At 37.2% G+C, this 23,175-nt stretch overlaps 1 long non-coding RNA gene across 5 annotated transcripts in view, besides 1 other annotated feature; it reads left to right on the forward strand.

Annotated features, from left to right (window-relative positions):
- Nucleotides 1-23,175, forward strand: part of LINC01808 (long intergenic non-protein coding RNA 1808) — a 52,275-nt gene that overhangs the window by 8,998 nt on the left and 20,102 nt on the right. For 2 of the 5 annotated variants that reach the window (NR_183418.1, NR_183420.1), the window contains exons 3-5: nucleotides 1,298-1,358; nucleotides 2,392-2,499; nucleotides 10,442-10,563. This is a non-coding gene — a long non-coding RNA (long intergenic non-protein coding RNA 1808). Of the gene's footprint in view, nucleotides 1-1,170; nucleotides 1,217-1,297; nucleotides 1,359-2,391; nucleotides 2,500-10,441; nucleotides 10,931-23,175 lie in introns of those variants that run through there. The other 3 variants (NR_183419.1, NR_183422.1, NR_183421.1) reach the window with 2 other exon arrangements.
- Nucleotides 9,712-10,911: an enhancer, noted in NCBI's record as "MED14-independent group 3 enhancer chr2:19687399-19688598 (GRCh37/hg19 assembly coordinates)". NCBI's record gives its function as "activates an origin of replication core promoter dependent on BRD2, BRD4, P300/CBP and CDK7 cofactors, and independent of MED14, by STARR-seq in HCT116 cells {active_cell/tissue: HCT116}" and the evidence as "EXISTENCE:reporter gene assay evidence [ECO:0000049][PMID:35650434]".

Here is a 23,175-nt window from a genome sequence, read left to right on the forward strand (position 1 = left end):
TACTCTTGTTTTGTACATTTGATTAAAGTCTCACAAAAATGAAAGCTTCATTTAAAAAACGTTTGTTCTCTGCTGTAATCTTAGCACCTAGAACAATACCTGGAACATGGGGAGGCTTGATAAATATTTATTGAAATAATAAATAATGATTAAACAAATGTCTTCTCAGTAGGACTTGGAATTTTTCAAGAACAGGGGCCACATTATCATCCTTTGATTTTTACTATCCACAGTCCACTGCTACACTGTCTTAGTCTATTTTCTGTTGCTTATAACTGAATACCTAAGACTGGGTAGAAATGAAAATGGATTTCTTACAATCAGGGAGGCTGAGATGTCCATGACTGAGGGGCTATATCTCGTGAGAGCCTCCTTGCTGGTGGGGACCCTCTTCAGAGTCCCAAGGTGGCATAGGGCATCACATGGCAAGGAGGCTGACTGTGCTAGCTCAGGTCTCTCTTCCTCTTCTTATAAAGCCACCAGTTTCATTCTCATGATTACCCATCAATCCATTCACACATTAATGCATTAGCCCATCAATGGATTAATCCATCCAGGAGGGCAGAGCCTTCATGACTCAATCACTTCATAAAGGCCCCACCTCTGAATACTGCCTCATTGTGGATTAAATTTTAACATGAGTTTTGGAGGGGATAAATTTTCAAACCATAATGCATGTACATCTCATTTACCAAGTACTCGATCTTCTGCAATGCTCAATGACTAATAAGTTACACAAAAGTTCAGCTACAGACTTAAGTTCTAGGTCAGACTTGAAGATAAATGCAATTGTAGTAGTCACTGCCTAAATTATTCCTGGGGGAAAAAAGGAAGAGACAGAAAAAGATCTATTAAGTTTGGAAAGATGCCTATCTTTTAAAATAGAAAGTAAGACCACTTGTCATTTAAGGAACATAGGTCTTTCTTAATTATCATGTTTCATACAATTATTGTTAGGCACAGTTATTTCTTCTCTATAGAGGACAAAGCTTATTAAATATAACATCTACTCAGATTTCCATGTAGATACATATCTCTAAAGTAAACAAGCCAGGCAAATATTATTATATCCACTGCACAGATGAAGAAACTAGTAAGATTGTCTTATCAAATGTTATATGGCTATGAAATGGTAGAGCTGAAACTAACACATTTTTTTTTTTTTTTTAGTTTGCCTCCCATATTTTTATGATGCCTTTTGAAAGCATTCTTAATGGTAAACATAAAGAAAATTTTGATGTCTACTCACTTTCCATTTTTTGGAATTTTCCCCTTTTGGTCTCCTTGCTACCCCTAGTGGACTCTACCTTCCTTCCCCTGATTCTCATGAGAATCTGATCTTCGCTAAAGTGGGCAAGGTAAATTGTGGCAATTCTAGTGTATCGAGGTGGTTTTCTGAAGCAGTAATCAGTGCATTATTACTAATTCTATGCTTCTTCATGGAACCATTACCTAAAAACCTAGATATTTTGGCTGGGAACAGTGGCTCACATCTGTAATCCCGCACTTTGGGAGGCCAAGGTGGGCGGATCACTTGAGGTCAGGAGTTTGAGACCAGCCTGGCCAACACGGTGAAACCCCATCTCTACTAAAAATACAAAAATTAGCCTGGTGTGGTGGTGGGCGCCTGTAATCCTAGCTACTCGGGAGGCTGAGGCACAAGAATCGCTTGAACCAGGGAGGCAGAGGTTGCAGTGAGCTGAGATCACGTCACTGTACACCAGCCTGGGCAATAGAGTGAGACTCAGTTTCAATTAAAAAAAAAAAACAAAAACCCAACAACCACAACAAAAAACTAGGTATTTTTATTGCTTTGGGAAGGAGAAAATGCAGAAAATATAAGAATCAAATCTTGACTTATTTCTAAAATATTCTCCAGAAACTCAAAGCAGAGCATAATCTTGAGCGCCAAGGCTTTCATTGTGAGAGCCAAGTTTTTATGATAGAGAAAAGGTTTTTCTGAGTCAACTCAGATGGAATATGAAGATAAATCTTATACCATAAATAGTAGTGTTAGGAAGAAGGCAGATTTCTCTCAAAAAACTACATAAATTCAATCTGCTGGAGAAAGAAGAGAGTTGAGATGGAAAAGGGGGCAATATTTAGTAGTCACTGTGTAGGTCTCAGAGAAGGGACTCTGCTCCCATCTTCCTCTCTTGTAGAGCTAGGCCCAGCCCTAGAGAAGGTGATCTAAACGGTAGTCAGGTTTGGGATGGGGAGTGGGAATTCTTGGAAGACAGCACTGCATTCCGCCTCCTGTTGAGTAGGCTGAGTTTAGAGCCTCTCAGATGTGCCCTGCCCCTCAGTGCAATGAACTGGAAGAGGAAATTGGAATATCTAAGAAGAAAGGGATTGTGAGAGGGCATCCAAACATTTCTTATGTTCTTGAAGGTCCTGGATCAGAAGATGCCTGACAAGAGGCCACTATCAGCAGCAACAGCACAGTGGGGACAAACCTGAGACCTTGATGGACCGTGGACACCAGCAGGAGAGACAGAGGTCAGTGGTGATGTGAATTAGGTACACCCCATGGGGGACAACAAAGGGCAAGGATAGCTATGACAACTCCTGCCCTAATGTGCATACCCCAAAAATATTTAGATGATACTCTGGGATGACGAAGAGTGGGGGAAAAAACACTAATTGGGTTTAAATGTAAGCCTGCTCAGAAATAATATGAAAGTTCTTGTTAGGGAAAATGGAGCACCAGAGAGTGATGGTTTAGTACCAGAAAAATAAAGATGTCACAGTTTTGCACATTTGTGTTTCTATCAATGAAATTTGTAGACAATTCACACACAAAAGGTGATGGCTGGGAAGTGTGTGAACTACTGTGGGATACTGAGCCAGCAAGGGAACGCCAGATCCATTTCAGAAGCTGGGTCTGTCTTCAAAGGGTTTTGACTTGCTGACCTCTGGCTGGCTTGCATCCTCCTCTCGGAACACACCAGACAGACGAGTAAACACAGATCACCAGTGGGCCACATGTTCCCTTCTTCTTCCAAGTGCTCTGTGTCCGTGGGCCTCCCCCGCTCCAGGCTTTTCATCTAGGTCCTCTTGACTGATGCTCAGGCCCCACAGAAGTTTCCTCACTCCTCTCTCAGCCAAGCAAGGGTGTAGAAAATAATAACCAAGCTCATAAGAGATTTCCAATATTGGTGAAGATCTTCACCCCTAGCTTTTCTCAAATGCATGATCTACAATGCATGAAACCCTGACTTCATTCATTCCTTTGAACACAACCTTTCCCTCTCTGATTTCCTCCTGTAAATGCTGATGTTCCCCGGTAAATGCTGAAGTCCCTAACTCTCCTCTACGAGAAGTCATTATATTCTTTGACTCTGTGACACGGGTGACTTCAAGAAGCAGAAAACAGTAAGGTTAAAAAAAAAAAAGGTTGAGACCTTAAAAGAGGAAAGAAGGGTTCAGAAAGGGGTGTTTGGAGGAGCTGAAGAGAACTTTGTCCATCATCTTTCTTGAGGATAGATCCAAGTATGCAGTGAACCACCTTTGCATGCTGCTAAAATAAATGGCAGCAGGTCAAAGACAAAGAGGCCTTTCAGAGGACAGAAGGAAATGAATGTTGGAATAAATGCTTTCTGATACATTTACACAGTTCCAAGTTGGTTAAATTACACATCCATTGTTTTAGATAGTAGTTCAGAGATCTCCTTCTTAACAGTAAGTATTTTTTTAAAATGCTTTATTAAGGTATTATTGACCTATACTGTACATATTTAATATATATATTTTGATGAGTTTGTGGATATGTATACATCCATGAATCTATTACCACTGTCAAGGCCATCAACATATCCATCACCTCCCAAAGTTTCCTTCCATCCCATTTATTATTATTGTTGTTGCTGTCATTTAATTAATTTACTTATTTTTATGGTAAGATCTATTATCTTAGCAAATGTTAAGTCTACAATATTATATATGCTGTATAGATCTCCAGAAGTTATTCATCTTGCATTACTGAAAGTTTGTACCCTTTAACCAACACCTCCTCCTTTCTCCCTACCCATCCCCTAGCAACCACCATTCTACTCTCTGCTTCTATGAGTTTGACTGTTTTAGATTCCACATGTAAATGAGGTCATACAGCATTTGTCTGTGACTGGCTTACTTCACTTATGATAACACCCTCTAGGTCATCCATGTTATTGTAAATGGCAGGATTTCCTTTTTAAGGGCGAATGATATTCCATTGTGTGTGTGTGTGTGTGTGTGTGTGTGTGATATATATATGTCATATATATGTCATATGTGTGTCATATGTCGTGTGTGTCATGTCATATGTCACATGTGTGCCATATGTGTGTGTCATATATATATATATATATATATATATATATATATATGAGTTATATATATATCTCTCTCTCACAATTGTTTATCCATTCATCCACCACAGGACACTTACGTGTTTCTATATCTTGGCTATTGTGAATAATACTGCAATGAACACGGAAGCATAGATACCTCTTCAAGATCCTAATTTCAATTCTTTGGATCTATATTCAGAAGTGAGATTGCTGAATCATATGGTAGTTTTAGTTTTCAAGGAACCTCCATACTGTTTTCCGTGACGGCTATAAAAATTTACATTCCCATCAATAATGTGCAAGGATTCCCCTTTTTCCACATTCTCACCAGCACTTGTGCGTGTGTGTGTGTATATATAATATATATATTTGTGTATTGTATATATATTGTATATATACACTATTGTATATATAGTATATATATACAATTGTGTATATATACTATATATACATATACTATATATACTATATATACAATTGTATATATAGTATACATATATGTATATTTGTGTATTGTATATATATTGTCTGTGTATATATACAATTGTATATATAGTATATATGTATACATATATGCATACACACATATATGTATACACACATATACATATACACATATGTACACACACTTATACATATGCACACATGTATACATATACACATGTATACATATATACATATGTATACATGTATATGTATACGTATATATACATGTATGTATATGTATATATACATATATGTATATGTATATATACATATATACATATACATACATATATGTATATATGTGTATATACATATCTATGTGTACATACGTATATACACATATGTTTATATGTGTATATATGTATACATATATACTATATATACGATTGTATATATATACACAAAATATATATACGATTGTACATATATACACACAATATATATACGATTGTATATATATACACACCATATATATACAATAATATATATACAATTGTATATATAGTATATATACAATATACAATATTGTATATACAATTGTATATATATTGTATATATACAATATACTATATTGTATATATACAATTGTATATATATATACAAGTGCTGGTGAGAACATGGAAAATGGCTATTATATAATAGCCATACTAAAGGTGTGAGGTGATAACTCATTGTGGTTTTGATATGCATGTCCCTAATGATTAGTAATGTTGAGCCCCTTTTCATACACCTGTTGGTCATGTCTTCTTTGGAGAAATGTCTATTCAGGTTCTTTCCCTATTTTTAATTGAATTATTTTATTTTTGCCCTTTAGTTATAGAAATTCATTGTATACTTTAGTTATTGACCCTTTATCAGGTGTATGGTTTGCAAATATTTTCTCCCATTCCACAGATTGATTTTTCATTTTGTGGATTGCTTCCTTTGCTGTGAAGAAGCTGTTTAATTTGATGTAATCCTACTTGTTTATTTTTTGCTTCTGTTGTCTGTGCATTTGGTGTCATATTCAAAACATTATTGCCAGAACCAATGTCAAGAGACTTTTTCCCCATGTTTTCTTCTGGGAGTTTTATGGTTTCAGATTTTATGTTTAAGTCTTTAATCAATATTGAGTTGATTTTTGCGTATGGTGTAAAACAGGGTGCAATTTCATTTGTTTTCCTGTGGATAACCAATTTTCCCAACACCATTTATTGAAGAGACTATTTTTTCTCCTTGTGCATTCTTGATGCCCTGGTCAAAAATTAGTTGATCATATACGTGTGGGTTTATTTCTGGACCTTCTATTCTGTTCCATTGGTTTATGTGTCTATTTCTACGTCAGTACCATACTGGCTTGACTACTATAGCTTTATAATATAATTTGAAATCAGAAAGTGTGATGCCTCTAAGTTTTGTCCTTCTTACTTAGGATTGCTTTGGCTGTTCTGTTTGTGTGTGTGTGTGGTTCTATATAAATTTGTGGATTGTTTTTTATATCTGTGAAAAAAATGCCATTGGAATTTTGATAGAGATTGCATTGAATCATTAGACATCTTTTGGTAGTATGGACATTTTAACAATATTATTTCTTCTAATTTATGAACATGGGATATATTTTCATTTATTTGTCTCTAATTTGTTTTATTGGTGCTTTATAGTTTTCAGTGTACAGATCTTTCACCCCTTGGTTAAATTTATATCTAAGGCTTTTTTGATGCTATTTTAAATGAGATTTGTTTTTTAATGTCCTTTTTGGATTTTTTTTGTTAGTGGACAGAAACACACTGTTTTTGTATGTTGATTTTATATCCTGCAACTTTACTCAATTTGTTTTTTATTTCTAACAGTTTTTTTTGTGGGGGTGAGTTTCTCAGCATTTGGCTATTTAGCTGAAGCTTAAACTCTTCTGCAAATAAAAAAATGATGCCCTTACACCAATGTAGTCTAGAAGCTAACAAATAACTTTTGTAAGTATCTTACCTCATTCTTTCTGGTTCACAGCCCAATAAAGGAAGCAAGGTATTCCAGGTTGAACCTCCAGAAATTCACTCTTGATTTATATTTATGGCAGAGAAAGAGAGGGTAGGGAGAGTAAAAGGGATCCCTGGAAAGTTTCTAGGAGTAACATCAGATATGATGGTGGAAGCTACTCACATGAGTTCCCCAGGGGCTGAAAGTAGCTGATGGAGAAAGCTTGGCCTCCTTTGCGATAGCATCCTCAGAGACTGTTTCAGTTCTCCTTTCACACCTGGCATGTATTTATATGGTACCAGAGAAGGGATTTTTATTTTAAATTATGCATGTGGATTTGCACCTTTATTCTATCAGAATCAAACTGTTATTCCACAACACTCCATAAAGTTAATGATACAATGTGACTAGAACTCTTTCCTGAAATATGACATTCTTCAGGGACCTTGAAAGTATTAAAGGGAGTGGATGCCAAGGCCAAATCATACCCCTGGAGCCACATAGAAGTTCCACAAGTACTTATATACCAGTGACATATATATTCCTTAGTTTCTGTGAATTCAATCAGAAGGTTTATATGAAAAGTTTCTGAAAAACCAGAGGTACAATGGCAAGGGGTCTGGGAGCCACCCTGACCTAGGCAGAGCAGTCCAAATCCATACTTGACTGTAGGTAACTAATGACCTGGTCAAAGCAGAGAGAAGAAGTGAAGATTTCAAGTTAGAAAGGAAATTAAACTTCCACCACTGTGATTTCATAATGTGACAAAATTAGAAAATTAGAAAATCTATTTTGTGTTCATCTCATTGAATATTTATAAGTCACCATTAATATCAATTTTAAAAATGTTTTGCATTTTTTGACCTAGTGTAAGAGATCTAAAAAATAATTCAAAGGTTTTTACACCACAGATTTTTATTTTTATTTCCCAGATATAATTTGCATTTAGTCTGATTATGATACAATTGAGTCCATTTGGAGCATAATATTCTCCATAGAAAGAGTAAATACATTTATATCCACCTGTGCATGTATGTAGGATATTTTGGAAAAAGGCATTGAAATAGGATTCTAAAGGCCAGACAGGGTCTACCACTTACATGGCATGCTAGATAGTCTCTGTGGCCTTGGCTAAGTTATCTAGCCTCACAGGGCCTATTTATTCATTTATAAAATAGGCATAATCCACTCTTTCAGAATTATTATGAGTAGTAAATGAGACAACAAATAAGGAGTAATTCATTTTTAAATATTCATTTATTTTATATATTGATAATATACAGACATAGATCCTGGTGGTTGCTGTGGCTTTGAGACAAGGTCACACTCTGTCACCCAGGCTGGAGTACAGCAGCTTGAATGTGGCTCACTGCAGCTGTGCTCAGTGAATTCAATCAGAAGGTGTATATGCAAAGTCCCTGAGAAATCAGAGGTACCATGGCAAAGGGTCTAGGAGCCCCCAAAGGCCCATTTTGGCCTCCCAAAGTGCTGGAATGACAGGCATGAGCCACCGTGTCAGGCCTTATATCTTGTTTTCGTATCTTATAATTTTTAAGTATCTGAGTTCTTCAGAGCTGGGATAGATTATATGTGATTCAGTCGCTCAAATTTTTGGGGGGTGCCTATGGCAAATAAGCTCTTAGCACCCAGCAAAAGTTTGTCACATCGAATCCTTACTTAATAAATATTTCTAAAGGTCTATCTGCACTCTCTAAAACAGCACTTTCTGTGATGACGGAAATGTTCTATATTTTCACTGACCAAAATGGTAGCCACTGTTTTAAATACCATTCTCAGAGCTAATGTTTCCCTAGTATCTTTTACCACTAAGAAAATGCGGTGTCTCTCTACAGTGGCTACCATCCCCATAAAGAGGTAAGTATGTTATAAAGGAAAGCATACCAAGGCATTATAAACATGCAGTGCAACCCCCAGTGGCGGACTCTCACTCCCAAAGAGGAATCTTGAGAAGACCACTTAACCAAAAAGAATGAAAGGCCATGGTGAAATTTCCAGAACCAAAGCAGGAACATGGTGTTAGGGAGTGGATCTTCTCAACGGATTTCCTATAGACCACTGCCCTCCCTACCACATGTAGCTCTATAATCTCTCTCGCTACCTATTCCTCCCAGTTACCACTCACCCAATGTCCTGGTTATACAGATCAGGAGAAGCACCACCATGGCAAAGATCAGGGCCACACTGAAGGTGGGAATCTTTTCAAAGAAGAGCAAAGATTGCAGTAGCCACAGAATATGCCAGGTTGTGTGCGTGTGTTTGTTTTTCTTCCTTTTTTTTTTAAACAGCTCTATAATTCCAGCATTGAACTTGAGCATGATCATTATTTCCTCCTCTCCTCATCTCACAATATATCCATACCAGCACAACCAAGACTCTCAATGTCAACACTGTTTGCTTTCCTTGTGGAGCAAGACACGTTCAGTCCCATGCTATCACACATTTAGAGCAGATGTTCCTAAAAAGGATAAACCAGGTGCTTAACATATTTTATTCCAAGGGGTAATTTTAGAAATTATTGCAATCAATGAGCTAATAATAATGGTGGTAATGATGAGGCCAAGTTATTATTACTTATTACCTTTAATCATCGACAGCAACTCAATTGGACATAATTAGAGACATCATCATAAATAACGTGGAGCAGATGGAAGATGCCGGGCTTTTCATTTCGAGGACTGAGTAGGAAGGTTAATGATGGAAGAATGGGCATAAAGAATGGGGCGTTTATATCACAAATCCATCCTGCACTTGAACCTTTCCTGTCTGAAACCCATACAAACAGCTGAATTAGACAGAAGGTATAAGCAGCCAACCCTGCACTTTCAATGTCCACTCACTCACTTTGCAACAGCCTTCTGCCCATCACTCATTGCCAGACCCCAGTTCTGCCCCATTTCTATCCATGTGGGTTAAGCAGTGGCCTTCTTTCTTTCTTTCTTTCTTTTTTTCAATTTCAATGGCAAAAGGGAAATAGAGCAATAGTCTTTCCTGATCTTCCCCCAATCTCTCTTTGAAAACATGCAAATGCTTTAGTTAGCCATTTAGTATTAACTTAAAATTTGGCATGAAATGCAGTAAGAAACATTACATGACCTCCGCACATTAACTTAGTAAAACAACTATTTCCTATGTATGGCAACTGTAGTACAGGTGCAGAGGAGTACACCCACAAGTAAGACACAGTTAGGTGTTCAAGTGGGATAACAAATTGATGTCGAAAAGGAAACCTGGGCTGTGAAGTTGTATACTTGGGGTTTAAATCCTGCAACTGCCATGTACTGAACCATTATACTGGGCAAGTTATTTTTCTTTCCGGAGCCTCTGTTCTATTGATTGTAAGTGGCTAGCTTGTTAGCAGTGCCCTCTCTGTGGACCAAGATACCCTTGTCTTTTTCTCCATAAAAGAACCCTTCTCACCAGACTTCAGCTGTGGTAATTGTCCTGTCTCACCCATAGATTTGGAGAAGGTACTGCAATGGATTATTCCTTTCTCTGCCTCTGGTACCTGGCACATACTAAGTACTCAACAAATGTTAGAGTAGATGTTTCTAGAAAGGATAAACCAGATGCTTAACATATTTAATTCCAAGGGGTAATTTTAGAAATTATTGTAATCAATGAGCTAATAATATGTTTTCATGTCCCTAAAGGAACTTGAAGTCTAAATGGGCAGACAAGACCAACATACACAAAGCAGAGAGTGGCACAAGAGCCATGTCTGATGCAACAGTGACTCAGGAGGATCACTCTGACTCAGAATGGCCAAGCAAAGGTATTGGGAGGAAGTGGGATAGAACTGAGCTTTGAAGACCGTGCTAAAATATTTACAGACTCCCCAGGTTATCTCAAGTTCTCTCCAGGAATTAGCTTCACCTCTTTGTGCTTTGGCTCCACATCAGTTAAATAGTGGTAACGTTTGATCGTTAAGAACCATGTAGAGATGAAACAATTTTCAAAGTTTTTTAATTAAGTGTACTCATTGCCACTCAAAGACAAATACCATATAAATATAATAATAATCATATTGAGAAACAAAATAGCAATGATGCAGATACTCATGTACTGTTTCATGTTTGTGGTCTTTGAGGGGAGTTTTTACTCAAATATCCCTAGATGAATAAATACATATGGTCTATAAATATGTCCCAAAGCAATTTTCTCCACTTGAACCTACATATACTTCACTATAGAACTGAAAACAAATTTATTTAAAACTTCTTTTATGTGGTTGTCTGTTGAAAAAAAAATCAGAACTCTCATTAAAGCCAATAAGAATTTGGTATAAAAAATTAATAGCAGGATATGAGCTTATAGAATCTTATCAATAATATCTTTATGATTCATTGGTCTCTTTGTGATGTGCCAAACATAACCAGGATTTATTGATGAATATGATATTTGGGGGTATAAAAACTTTATATATGTTTTTCTTTACTCAATTAGTGAATCTTGTCTAAATTAATATTGTCATGAGATTTCATTTAGCAATGGCCAGGTATCATGGCCAAATAGATACTTTGACTTGAATTATCTGCCTAAATGTTCTAATTCTCCACTTTACTTCACGAAACTGAGGAAATTCAGCTGTAATAAAAATCTTAAATTTGAAAAAAAAATAAGTGTTTTGTACAAAGTTCTAGGAGTGAGACGTGCAAGGGGATAAAAATATGAATAAGAAAGTCCTAGTACTAAGATTACATCTTAGTTGATAAATGCATTGGAAGAAAGAGAAAACTATTAAGCCAATACAAAGCACCAAAGAAATACGTGAAATAAGGGAGATAAACTCATGTTCCTATGAAATCTCCAAGAAGGGAGAGATTCTATTCGGTCAGGGAGATGACAAAGGAGCGTGGATTGGTGGGCCCCTGGGAGGCTTTGGACGAGAAGGGTTGGAAGCGTTGTCACTGCAGAGCGAAGAGCCTGAGAAATGACAGGGAATCAGGAAAACACAGAGAAAGCAACGAGCATTCCTCCACTTCTTCTCCCAGCAGAGGAACACTGAGAAGTGGAATTGGAAAGATGGACCGGACCCAAATTCTTAAGGGTGTTGAATATCAGGCTAAATACTTTCAGCTTAATTTGGTTAAGTCATGAGAAACCACTGAAGGTTTTGTTTTGTTTTGTTTTCAAGCAAGTTAGTGGCCTACATTAATTTATTATTTATCATTATTCAACCTTTTACATTGAAATTGCTCCCCAATCCTTATCAATTCCCCCTTGGACTCTTACTACAGCACTTTTTCCCTAGTACCCCATGTCAGTGCTGCCTCCAAACAGCACAGCCCCCACCAGGCTTGCTGTCTCCTTCCCAGCCCACAAGACATGAGTCTTAATTAGAAATATGATTGCATGGTTCCGTAGCTTAAAATCCATCAATAAAATCCTCTCTCCCATAGAAGAATGTCCAAGGCTTTAGTATGGTATATCAGGATTGTCATCTTTAAAATTTTACCTATCTGCCTACCAGGTAACCCCCTCAACACACATCCCCTGTGGTCCCTGTGCTTTGACCTGGAATTCCTCACTGTTGCATTAAATGTCATGATTTCTCACACCCCCATACCTGTGTGTGAGTAGTCTCCTTGTCTGCCTGGAAAAATATTATTCAGCCTTGGAAATTCAGCTCAAATGTCACCTCCTCCATGAAGCCTTCCCTGATAATCCCTAGCCTTGCCCCCTCCCTCCATTGAGTTAATACCCTCTCTTCTTCTCCATAGCTCCATTTGACTCCACTTGTCACTGTTTTGTGTGTCCATTTATATTACCATCTTCCGGCTACATTGGGCAGCACCGTTTCTTATTGCTCTCTGTAGCCTTAATGCTGGCACTCATTACATAACAGTTAGATAAACTAATTCATATATTTTTATCACACCAACTTCCTGAAACTATCTAAGGCAGTTGAGAGGAAAGAGCTTTAGAAAAATGAACATGACAGTGATGTATTAGGTAAATTGGATGAGAGACTGCAGGCTTGGAAGGAGGGGGAGAATATGATGGATTCTGCTTTGAACATGGAAAATATGCCTTTGGCGTCCACTGCAATCAGGATCTGCTTCTGAGGCTACAAATGATTCTGATTAGACAGGAATGGAGAATTAAGTCGTCCTTTTCACTTTCCAGGCCTAACACGCCCATCTCTTTTGATAACTTCCTCCAAGATGACTCTGAATTTCTTTAGTCCTGTCTCTCTTATCCAAATATTTCCTGAACAAGAACTCAAATTGGGCAAGTTTTCAGATCCTGTATCTGAATGTGTGTGAGCTCAGGGAGAAGGAAACAAAGTGATTTGCAACCTGGCGCTGGAAGGAGACCGACTGTCAGGGGGCCAGGGATTGTTTTTGTTATTTCTGTCTTGCTCTAAACCATGTCTGTTTATTGTTATTGTCTTGTCCCCTTACTGATGTTCAATCCGTTTCCTCATCACAAGTGTGAAAGGAAACCTGGCAAAAAGTTACCCGAGCAAGAGTTCCGAATCAATAATAGATTCATCCTGAGGTACAGCACGACATCTGTTAGATATTTGGAGCCGCTGTCCATCCTGCCTGGAGGGGTGCTTAAGCAGTCAGGCTCCTTTCTCCCTGGAAGACTATAAAACACAGAGAGTTAAGAAGTGGCAGGAAAGTGCTAGTGATGCCTGCTTAAAAGAGCAAGTGCTATAACTTGTAGGATGAACATGTTTCAAGAGAGAAGATTGGTGTTCAATTTTAGCATATGTTCTTGAACCCATATTTACACAGAATTTGAGTTGTACGAGCAAAGTAACATGTATGAAACAAAAACTAGTTATGTAATGGAATTGTTCCTTTGCACGAGAAATTTGTATATGTGTGTCTTAAGAATTTTGGCTTGTCCTTTTTTACTGCAAGCTTTAAAAATACCATATTAAACGAATTTTCAAAACCTTCACAGAAACTCTTATTGCTTCTAGCCACAGTTGACCTGGTAGAGATTCCAATGAATTATCAGAATCTTTTTTTTCTCTTGTAATATTGAAGCTTTCAATGAGAAAATCAACACCAGAGAGAGAGAAGAGAAATTGAAGAGAAACAGAAGAGGGAGGGGAAGGGGAGGGAGGATACTACTAGATAAATGAGATATCATACCGGAAAAGGAGATAGAGAAGTGGAAAGACAGCATAGGGGAGGAATAAAGAATGAAAAAGATAAGCAGATAAAAAGTGGCCTTAGTTAAGAAAAAACTACGCATTATAAAATCCTCTTTAACTCCATGGTGAAAGAAAACTTTAAAGCAAGGCTGCACAGTTGCAACAAAACAACCCTTTAAAAAAAATCCCACTTAGAAATTCAAAGAGGTTATCAAAGTAGATTAGCAAACTATATACTTGGAACAACAATTTCACAATCAAAACCAAACTTAGTACTATGAAGGGAGTCTGAGAAAAGACAGATGTAGGAAGAGAAAAGAAAAAATTGGGAGAAAGAACGATAGAAGGGTAGAGAGCAAGGGAAAGCCAGAAACGAAACAAAAGCTGGGATATTTGTTTTATGAAGTATTAATAACTCACGAAGGGTTATTTGTCATTGCTGAATTCGGAAATTTATTATCCTATATTAACAAGAGACCAAAATGTCTAGAGTCATTGGCTTGGAGTGTTTTTAAAATGCACCTTCATGCAGACAGTGACCCAAGTTAAAAGGCGGCCCTCATTGTGAAGGGGACGTGGATAGGGCCCTAAATCAGCCAGTTACTACCCTCACAACCCTGCTAAGGGCCAGAGAGCTCCTCTGGGGGTGCAGGGAGACTTTGAAGTCCAGAAAAGTTTTGGATGGGAAAAGAGGAGTGGCTATGGAAAAGAGAATGAGAATTTATTATCAGGACCTTTGGGGGGTTTCATATAAAAGCCCTAAATTAACTTAATACTTAACGAAAATCTGTGCTGTCACCCACTGTCTTGACTTTATTGCTTTCGTGTTTGCTGAGCCCTTTACATATCATGCTGGATTAATCTCTGATCTTTGCAATTTCATTAAAATAACACAGGGGAAAATTTTATGCTCAAACTTCAGGATGAGACTTAAGAAAGCAGGAAAGTGGGCATAATCACCCACTTTCCATCTAGCTAAGAGACAGGAAGCATGCAAACATATGAGAATTTTGTGAATCATCTAGAACATCCCCCATTAAGGAGGCTCACTTCCTTCAGAGATGCCTCCTTCCAAATCCTCCTCCTTGAGTCTTGGAGCCCAGGTGAACTCCCTGCCCTGCAATGTACCCACCACTTACCTCAGCAGCCATGCCCGCATGCACTCCACTGGCCCACTGAGTTGCTCTCCAGGTGAACTCCTCCATCGGCTCACAGTCTCATTCTCCCTTTCTTGGGAAGCCTTTCTGACCTCCCAGGTGTTGTTAGGGATCCCCTTCCCTGGGTCCCCAGAATACCCTCCCCATCCCTTCTCACAGCACATGTCCACGGCATCACACCTGCCTGTTTACCTGCCTCTCCCCAACTATAAAGCTCTTGAAGACGGTAATATGAATCCTCTTTTGCTATCTCTGCAGCACCCAGCACAGTGTCTGGCTCTCAAAATACTTTTTGAATTAATACATGAATGGGAGTTAAAATCATATCTTAACTCTAAGGTCTAATTTTTTTTCTGATTTACCATTCTGCTCAAGGCCAGTGTGGTCCAAATAGGAGTACTGTTCAAAGAGGCAGATTCCTGGACCTCAGACTCCTCCCTGTGATCTTCTTAAGCTCTAACGCGTTAGTCATACCCAGCTCTAGGAGTAAAAAATAATATTTACCTTTAAGAGATCTATAAGCTTTTCCTTCATTGGGGAGCATAAAAATTATTGTGCTTGGCACAGGGGAGAGAATGGTGAAAATGGCAGAAAAGAAGGTTCTGGCCCTTTGGGGAGCTTACCTTCCAGCAGGTTGACAAACGTTAAACCAAAAATTAGACAGGTGCTATGAGAGTGTGGAGCAAGAGGCCCCTGCCTAGCCTTCCTGAATAAGAGCAGTTTGAGCCAAATATTGGGAAATTCACAGAAATTAGCAAGGCAAAAAAGAAAAAAGCGAGAGGAAGTTTGGGAAGAGAGAAGGGGCAAGTCTGTGCAAAGGCCCAGAGGCAGGAAGGAGTAGGGCATGTTTAAAGAACTGAAGGAAGGTCAGTAGGACTGAAGTCCAGAGAGAGGGGAAGAGAATGGCATGAGGCTGAAGATGAAGACTGAAAGAATATGTGCCTGGGCAACGCATGACCCCCATTACCTTAGGGTATTCACAGTTAATAACTTTTCTTGTGTTTATTTAAGAAGAGTATAGATACAGTAACTTCTTTATTTTCAATAGTACAGCAGACCATAACTGATAGACTTTCATTTATTTAAGGCCATATGCTGGGTTTTGTTTTTGTTTTCACTATTACAAAAAGTGCTACAATGATCTTTCTTGTCCACAATGGTATGTTCTTAAGTAGTTGGCTAAATTTAACTAGAAGACAGAAAATCACTGGGGGAAAAAATCAGTAGAAACACATAAATAATCAATAAGCTAATATTAAAGGAGGGAAGATGACTTTTATGAGATGAATGACTTAGAACTATTTAGGATTTACGAATGATGTGAATCTATACTACCGTTCAGACTGGTGCTTATTATATTCTGAATCATATTTCTGGCCCTAGCCCAGAGGAGGGATTCAAAGTACAGGTCTCCATCTCTGGCCCCAGAGATAGCACAGCCCTTTACCTAGATCGGGTAATATTGCATGATGGGTGAAAATTCCTACTCTGAAGTCCAGAGGGTCACTTTTATTCCTGGCTTTGCCATTTACTAGCTGTATGGCTTGAAGTGAGCTTCCTAAGCTTCAGTCTCCCCATTTACAAAAGAGGAGATAAAAATATTACCTACCACTGTAGGGTCATGGTGAGGATTAAATGAGATGATGTCGGTGAGGCTCATAGCAACTGCCTAACATGGGAAGCTCTCAGTAAATGATAGGTACTATTGTTGTTGTTAACAAAGTCAAGAGAAGATAGTATGTAATAATAGTTTTCATTTCTGTAAAGTTTTCCATGATGCAGATCCTGACCTCAGCATTTTACCTGTATTAACCCATTTAATCTAACAATCATTCTATAGGTAGGTGCTATGACTACATTTTTATAAATGAGGAAACTGAGGTCAACAAGAGCAATTGAGAGCTCCTTCATAACAGAGCCAGAGAATGAAACCTAGGCAGTCTTATTACACTGATGGGCCAGAAATATCCACAATGCCAGAACCACGTAATGTTGCAGCTGGAGGACAACACAGAAAAAATCTAGTAAATCTCAATTTATAAATGAGAAAGTTGAGGCCCAGATCATTAAAATGACCTGCTTTTCGGTCACACACACTTAATCTGAGAAAGTCCATGATCATTAAGAACTTATACCTGTAATCCCAGCACTTTGGGAGGCCGAGACATGCGGATCACGAGGTCAGGAGTTCAAGACCAGCCTAGCCAACATGGTGAAACTCTATCTTTACTAAAAATACAAAAATTAGCCGGGCGTAGTAGTATGCGCCTGTAATCCCAGCTACTCAGGAGGCTGAGGCAGAAGAATTGCGTAAGCCCGGGAGGTGGAGGAGGTTGCAGTGAGCCAAGATTGTACCACTGCACTCCAGCCTGGGTGACAGAGTGAGACTCCATCTCAAAAAATAATAATAATATTTTGGAGTTGTAGCTGACAAATGAACTTTCATTTAGATCAAAGGCTTTATGACTCTTAGACATTAATTAGCTCTTATACAATGCTGTTGTATCATTTAAATGTATGCTAATCCCATGGATTTGATTTTCCTTTAAGTGTTCTTAAATTTAGAAATGAAGGAAATAGAGGAGAAGAGTCCTGCAAAAGAAGGTTTGAGTTTTTTCAAATTCAAAAGAATTTTTTTTTAAGTTTCAAATATTTGGCAACAACTGGCAAAATCAGCTCTTCTCGCCTTATGCCCTGGGCTTGTTAATGTCACTTTGAACTGGACTCTTTTGTCTTTACTGTGCTTGGGCTCTACATTGTAAGCAATGAATTTCTTTTGTTTGTAAGTAAAGTATAAGCTACCAAATAAATCTCCCCATTCCAAACTCTGATAAGCAGTTTATTTTTTGCCCAGTTTATAATTATCTCTGGAAACTGCTTCCAATAAACTCAAAAGAGTAGCTCTAATGGAGAGTGAAAGTCCATGAACTAATACATAAAGCCATGTGTTCTGGGATGAATGACAGAGAAGTAAAAGTTAAGAGAATTCTAATTTACACACTCCCCCAACATGCCGTGTGACCTATTCAAGTCCTTTAACCTATCTGGATTTTGGTTTCCTGATCTATGAATGTGGCACTAAGGATTATCCTACTCACATGTAAATTACTGTGAAAATTAAGAAAATTGATGCAAAAATATCTTGCAATATTTAAGCACATTAAGAGTGTGATATTACAGGAACCTCCTGAACCATGTTTCCTTCCGTTCTTCCCCTGGCTCAGCCTTCTCATCCTTTAAAATGCCACTCAAGTATCATCTCCTATTGCCAAAAAGTCTTCTCTGAAGCTTCTGTTCTCACACATAGCACATCACTCAATAAATATCTGGTCATATATCTGCCTTTGCCATCAGAACACAAGCTTTGCAAGATGAAGAACCTAGTCTTATATCTTATCCATTGGTTTTCGTTTGGGGTCACCAAAGGTTTTTTGAGCACCTACTCAACACTCATAGGTCTCAAAGGCTGAAAATTAAATGCCTAAAACTCAGTCCCTGATGTTAAAGAATTTATGGTTAATTGGGTAGAGCAAAAGCAGAAGACAATCACAGCATAATGTTGCAAATCCAGACCTGAATGGGGCACCTTGGGAGTAGAATGGACCCAACTCTGCCTGTATTGCAGGCTGTAAGACATTCTTCTCCAGGACCTGGGGAAGGCATGCTCTAACTTTCACTCATTCACTTTCAACGGGGTTTCTAAAAGATATCAGCATCAGACCTAATCTCGTCCTTCAGAAGGAAGTTTTCTATCACCACCCACCAAGTACAAGTGATGTCCTCCAGGTATTTCCCACAAATTCCGGTGACCAAATAACTTTGGCACTGTTGACCACACACCCAGGTGGTGCTACATATATAGGCCTCGTAACAGCAGCTAATGAATCATTCCCTTTGGTTACATAAAAAGCAAAGCCAAAGTCGCCTCTGGCACCCACTTTGAGTTAGCTCAAGAGCAGCCCCATGTTAAAGTCTTAGCTACTTCAGCTGGTGTTTCTTTGCAAATTCACATTTAGAAATAATAGTCTTCCCTTAATTCTGCAGAATGATTTACATTTTACAAAATGCCTTCACATCCATCATCCTATCTGATTCTAACAACCACTCACTGCAATGAATACACCAGGAGTTATTTTATGGATGAGGAAACTGAGACTAGGTAACTCAGACTAAAGCCCAAGTCTCCTGATTCCTATTCTAGTCATCTCAAACTGCACAACACTGCAGCACAATTGCAGAGGAGACACTCAGTGCTTCTATTACCCCTATTTTTCATGAGTTAGTCAAGTCAGCCAATGTTACCTTAGACCGGATCATCATCGAAGCACAGAGCTGGGTGAGGAAGGGAAGAGCAGAGCTGCCCTGACTCTCAGAAACACTTGGCTGGTAAGAGAAACAAAATAAGTGTGCAATCAACTACACGAAAAAATCAAGTGAAGTGTGTGACATGAAAACACCTGATTTGGGGTCCCAACCGTTCTATAGTTCAGTTCTGTGTCTGGATTTACAAGACCTGTTGTGGTTTAGTGACTCATAGCTGATGGGGCCTTAAACCTCTTATAATCCCCTTATGTTATTAATACAAATGCAGAAGCAAAGCCAATAAGGAAAATGACTTTCCCATTGCCCCAAAACTAGTTAATGGCAAATGTAAGATTAGAACACAAAACGCAGAACCTCACCACTCCCCAAAAGACCATTATCAAAGATTGTTTTACAACCCTGGGATGTTTGCATCCTGGCTTGTGTTTCCCTATATATAGTGTGAAGGACGTTGAAAGAAGAGTAACAGGACCCAAACCTCTTAATAAATGGATATTTCAATGTATTCTCAATATTTAGCTACTCAGTGGAATTATTTTCTGATTCATCTATGTTGTCTTATGTTTCAGTGATTCCTTCTTTATTGCTGAGAATTATTCCATTAATAGATATAACACAATTTGCTTATCCATTAACCTAGTTATGGACATTTGGTTGTTTCTAGTTTTTGAATTTTGTAAATTATTCAATTATATTTCCTTCGTTAGCTTATTAGCTATAACTTTTTTGTCTTTTTCATTTCAGTGGTTGCTTGAGGGTTCAAAGCATACATATTAACTTATTACACTCTACCTTCAAGAGATATTATACCATTTCATGTATAGTAAGAGGACTTTATAATAGTTTACTTCCATTTCTTCCTTCTTGGCCTTTGTGCTATTGTCATACATTTTACTTTTATACCTATTATAAACATCACACTATGTTGTTATTATTTTTAAGCAGTCAAGAATTATTTAAAGAGATTTAGATAATAGGAAAAAATCTTATGTGGTTACCATTTTATGGGCTATTCATTCTTTTGTGTAGACTTCCCTTTCTATCTAGTACCATTTATCTTAGGTCTGAAGAATTTTGTCAAATGTGTCTTGTAGTGCAGGTCCACTGTGATTAAGTGTTTCAGGTTTTGCATATTTGAAAAAGTCTTTTTTTGGGGGGGTTATTTTTTAAAGATATTTTTACTAGATATATAAGTCTAGGTTAACAGGTAGTTTGGGGTTTTGTTTTGGTTTGTCTTTATGTTGTTCCACTGTCTTCTAGCTGATGAAGACAAGTTTCTGATAAAAAATCTGTCTAGTCTTTCTTCCTATGTGTCTTCTGGCTGCTTTTAAGATTTTTTTTCTTAATCACTGCTTTTGAACTATGCTATTATAATATTTCTCAAGCTTGGGGTTTATTGAAATCTTAAATAAATGGCTTTAGAGTTTCTATTACATTTGGGAAGTATTCAGCCATGATTGCTTCAAATACTTCTGTCTCCTTTCTACTTCATAGCTCCAATTACACAGATGCTCACTTCTTTGGAGTTTTCCTACAACTCACTGATACTTCATTTTACTTTTAGCCTTTTTTTTCTATTTAATTTTGGATCATTTCTGTTGTTATGTCTTCATGTTCACTATCTAGTCTTCTGTAACATCTAATCTGCAGTTAGCTTAATACAGTGTATTTTTGCCATAGCCATTATAATTTTAACTTCTGAAAGGCTGATTTGGATCTTCATTTTATAATTTGCATGCCTATTGAGTATAGATGCAGTTATAATAATTTATTTTATGTCTTTTGCTGGTAATTCTAAGGTCTGTGTCAGTCTGGGTCCATTTCAATTGATTTATGTTTCTCCTCGTTATGAGTTCTATTTTCCTAGTTTGTTGTTGTTGTTGTTGCATGCCTGGTACATTTTCATTAGATGCCACACAGTGCATTTTGCTTCGTTAGGTGATGGATATTATCATATTTCTATAAACATTCTTGATTATTGTTCTGAAACAAAATTAGTTTATTTGTCGGCCTCATGATTCTTTCAGACCTTGCTTTTGAGACTCATTAGGTGGGACGAGAGCTGGATCTAGCTTCAGGCTATTAATTCCCACAACTGAGACAAGAATTTTTTGAGAGTTCTAGTCAATCCCCTGTGAGTTAAGAGGTTTTTCCAGTTTTGCTGAGGGGGAACAGACTCAGTACTCTGCTGCATATTCAAGAAGGACCCTCTGCAAATCTCTGCATTATCTCTTCATCAGGTTCTCCCTTCTTTGGTATTCTACTCTGTGAACTCTAGCAGCCTTGGCATCTCAGCTCTGTCTCTTCAACTCAGGGAGACCAATGGGTACTGCCTGGGTCGCCTCTCCCTGCACTGTGGCTACTTATAAGGCTCACATCATTTGTTTATTATATCTCAGAGATTATTGCCCTTCATTATCTGATTTCCAATTTCTTAAAAATCATTATTTCATCTATTTATGTAATTTTTATTTTTTAGTTGTTTCAAGTGGAATGGTAAATCTAGTCTGTTATTTCACCTTAACCAGAAGCAGATGACCCCTGGTACAGTTTTGAGGCTATTATTTTCTTTCTTTTTTTATCAATTCAGTGTTGAAAATCTTAGTTTATACAAGATGATATAAACTTTGTGAGTGGCAATTCATTGTGAATGGCAATTATAGATATACACTTTTTCTACTTAGCAATAGAAATTTTCGTATAATCTTAATCCAAAACAATGGTAAACTCTATTGTATAAATATTCTTTGGTGTAAGGAAGAGCTTAGATATAATGATTTATTTTATTTTTCGTGGATCAAGTTTAAATAAATAATTAATTCAAGGTTTGCATAGAAAACTTTCTTCTTCAATGTTTCAAATTTCCCTTCTGGAAAGTAGTGATTGAAAGTTTGAAACAAAGAAGTGAAATGTAACAATATCTCTGAATTTATTTTATTCAAACTGGCTTCATTAATAGCATTCTTTTCAATATGTTATAGCAATGTTGGGAAAACATAGCAACTAGGGTGACTATTTTTGAGTCTTGCTTGCCATAACAACATTTTTTGGAACCTCTTAACTTGTTGAAATATAGCATTGGTTTTCCCTGTAGTTTTAAATTATATTTGTTAAGATTGCTTAAAATATCAGTTAAGTAGCCAATTTTATTACCCATATAACATCTTTAAAAATATTTTCCAAGTGAGATTTCTTTACAACTGAAAATGTGAATCTCATTTGTGAGTTTCTATGCCCTGTTTAATACTTTCTCTTCCAAAAACCAAAGAACTTTAGAATTGTGTAGTAAATAGAAACAGTTTACAACAATCTCTGAACAAAATATTTCCACAATCTAGTTATTTGGTAAAATTCCTTTAAGATTAAATTTTAAAGAAACTAAAATCATTAAATTAAAAATTATTTCATGTATTTTTAAATATATTCATGACAATCACAGAATTTTGAAGAATTCTCAATATTTATTATATATATTTGTAGTCCTTTGAAATTGTACCATTATTAATAGACTAAGCATTATAGTAATTTCTATATGCTTTCCAATATATTTTTGCCTTAATATATGTTGACCACCATTTTTTCTTCCTAATTCTAGGAGGAAATTAAAATCAAGGTTAAATGAATTGTAATTTAGGTTAAACTTACACAACTACACAACTCTTTTATGAAATTATTTTGCCACATTTATCCCACCTAAATTAAAAGTGTTGCAAATATCAGGACATTAATCAGATTGGATTGTGGAATCTATACTTAAGTATCATGATGTAATAAACATTGCTTTGAAATGTTC

The sequence above is a fragment of the Homo sapiens genome, chromosome 2, assembly GCF_000001405.40.
Source record: "Homo sapiens chromosome 2, GRCh38.p14 Primary Assembly".
Lineage (NCBI taxonomy): Eukaryota > Metazoa > Chordata > Mammalia > Primates > Hominidae > Homo > Homo sapiens.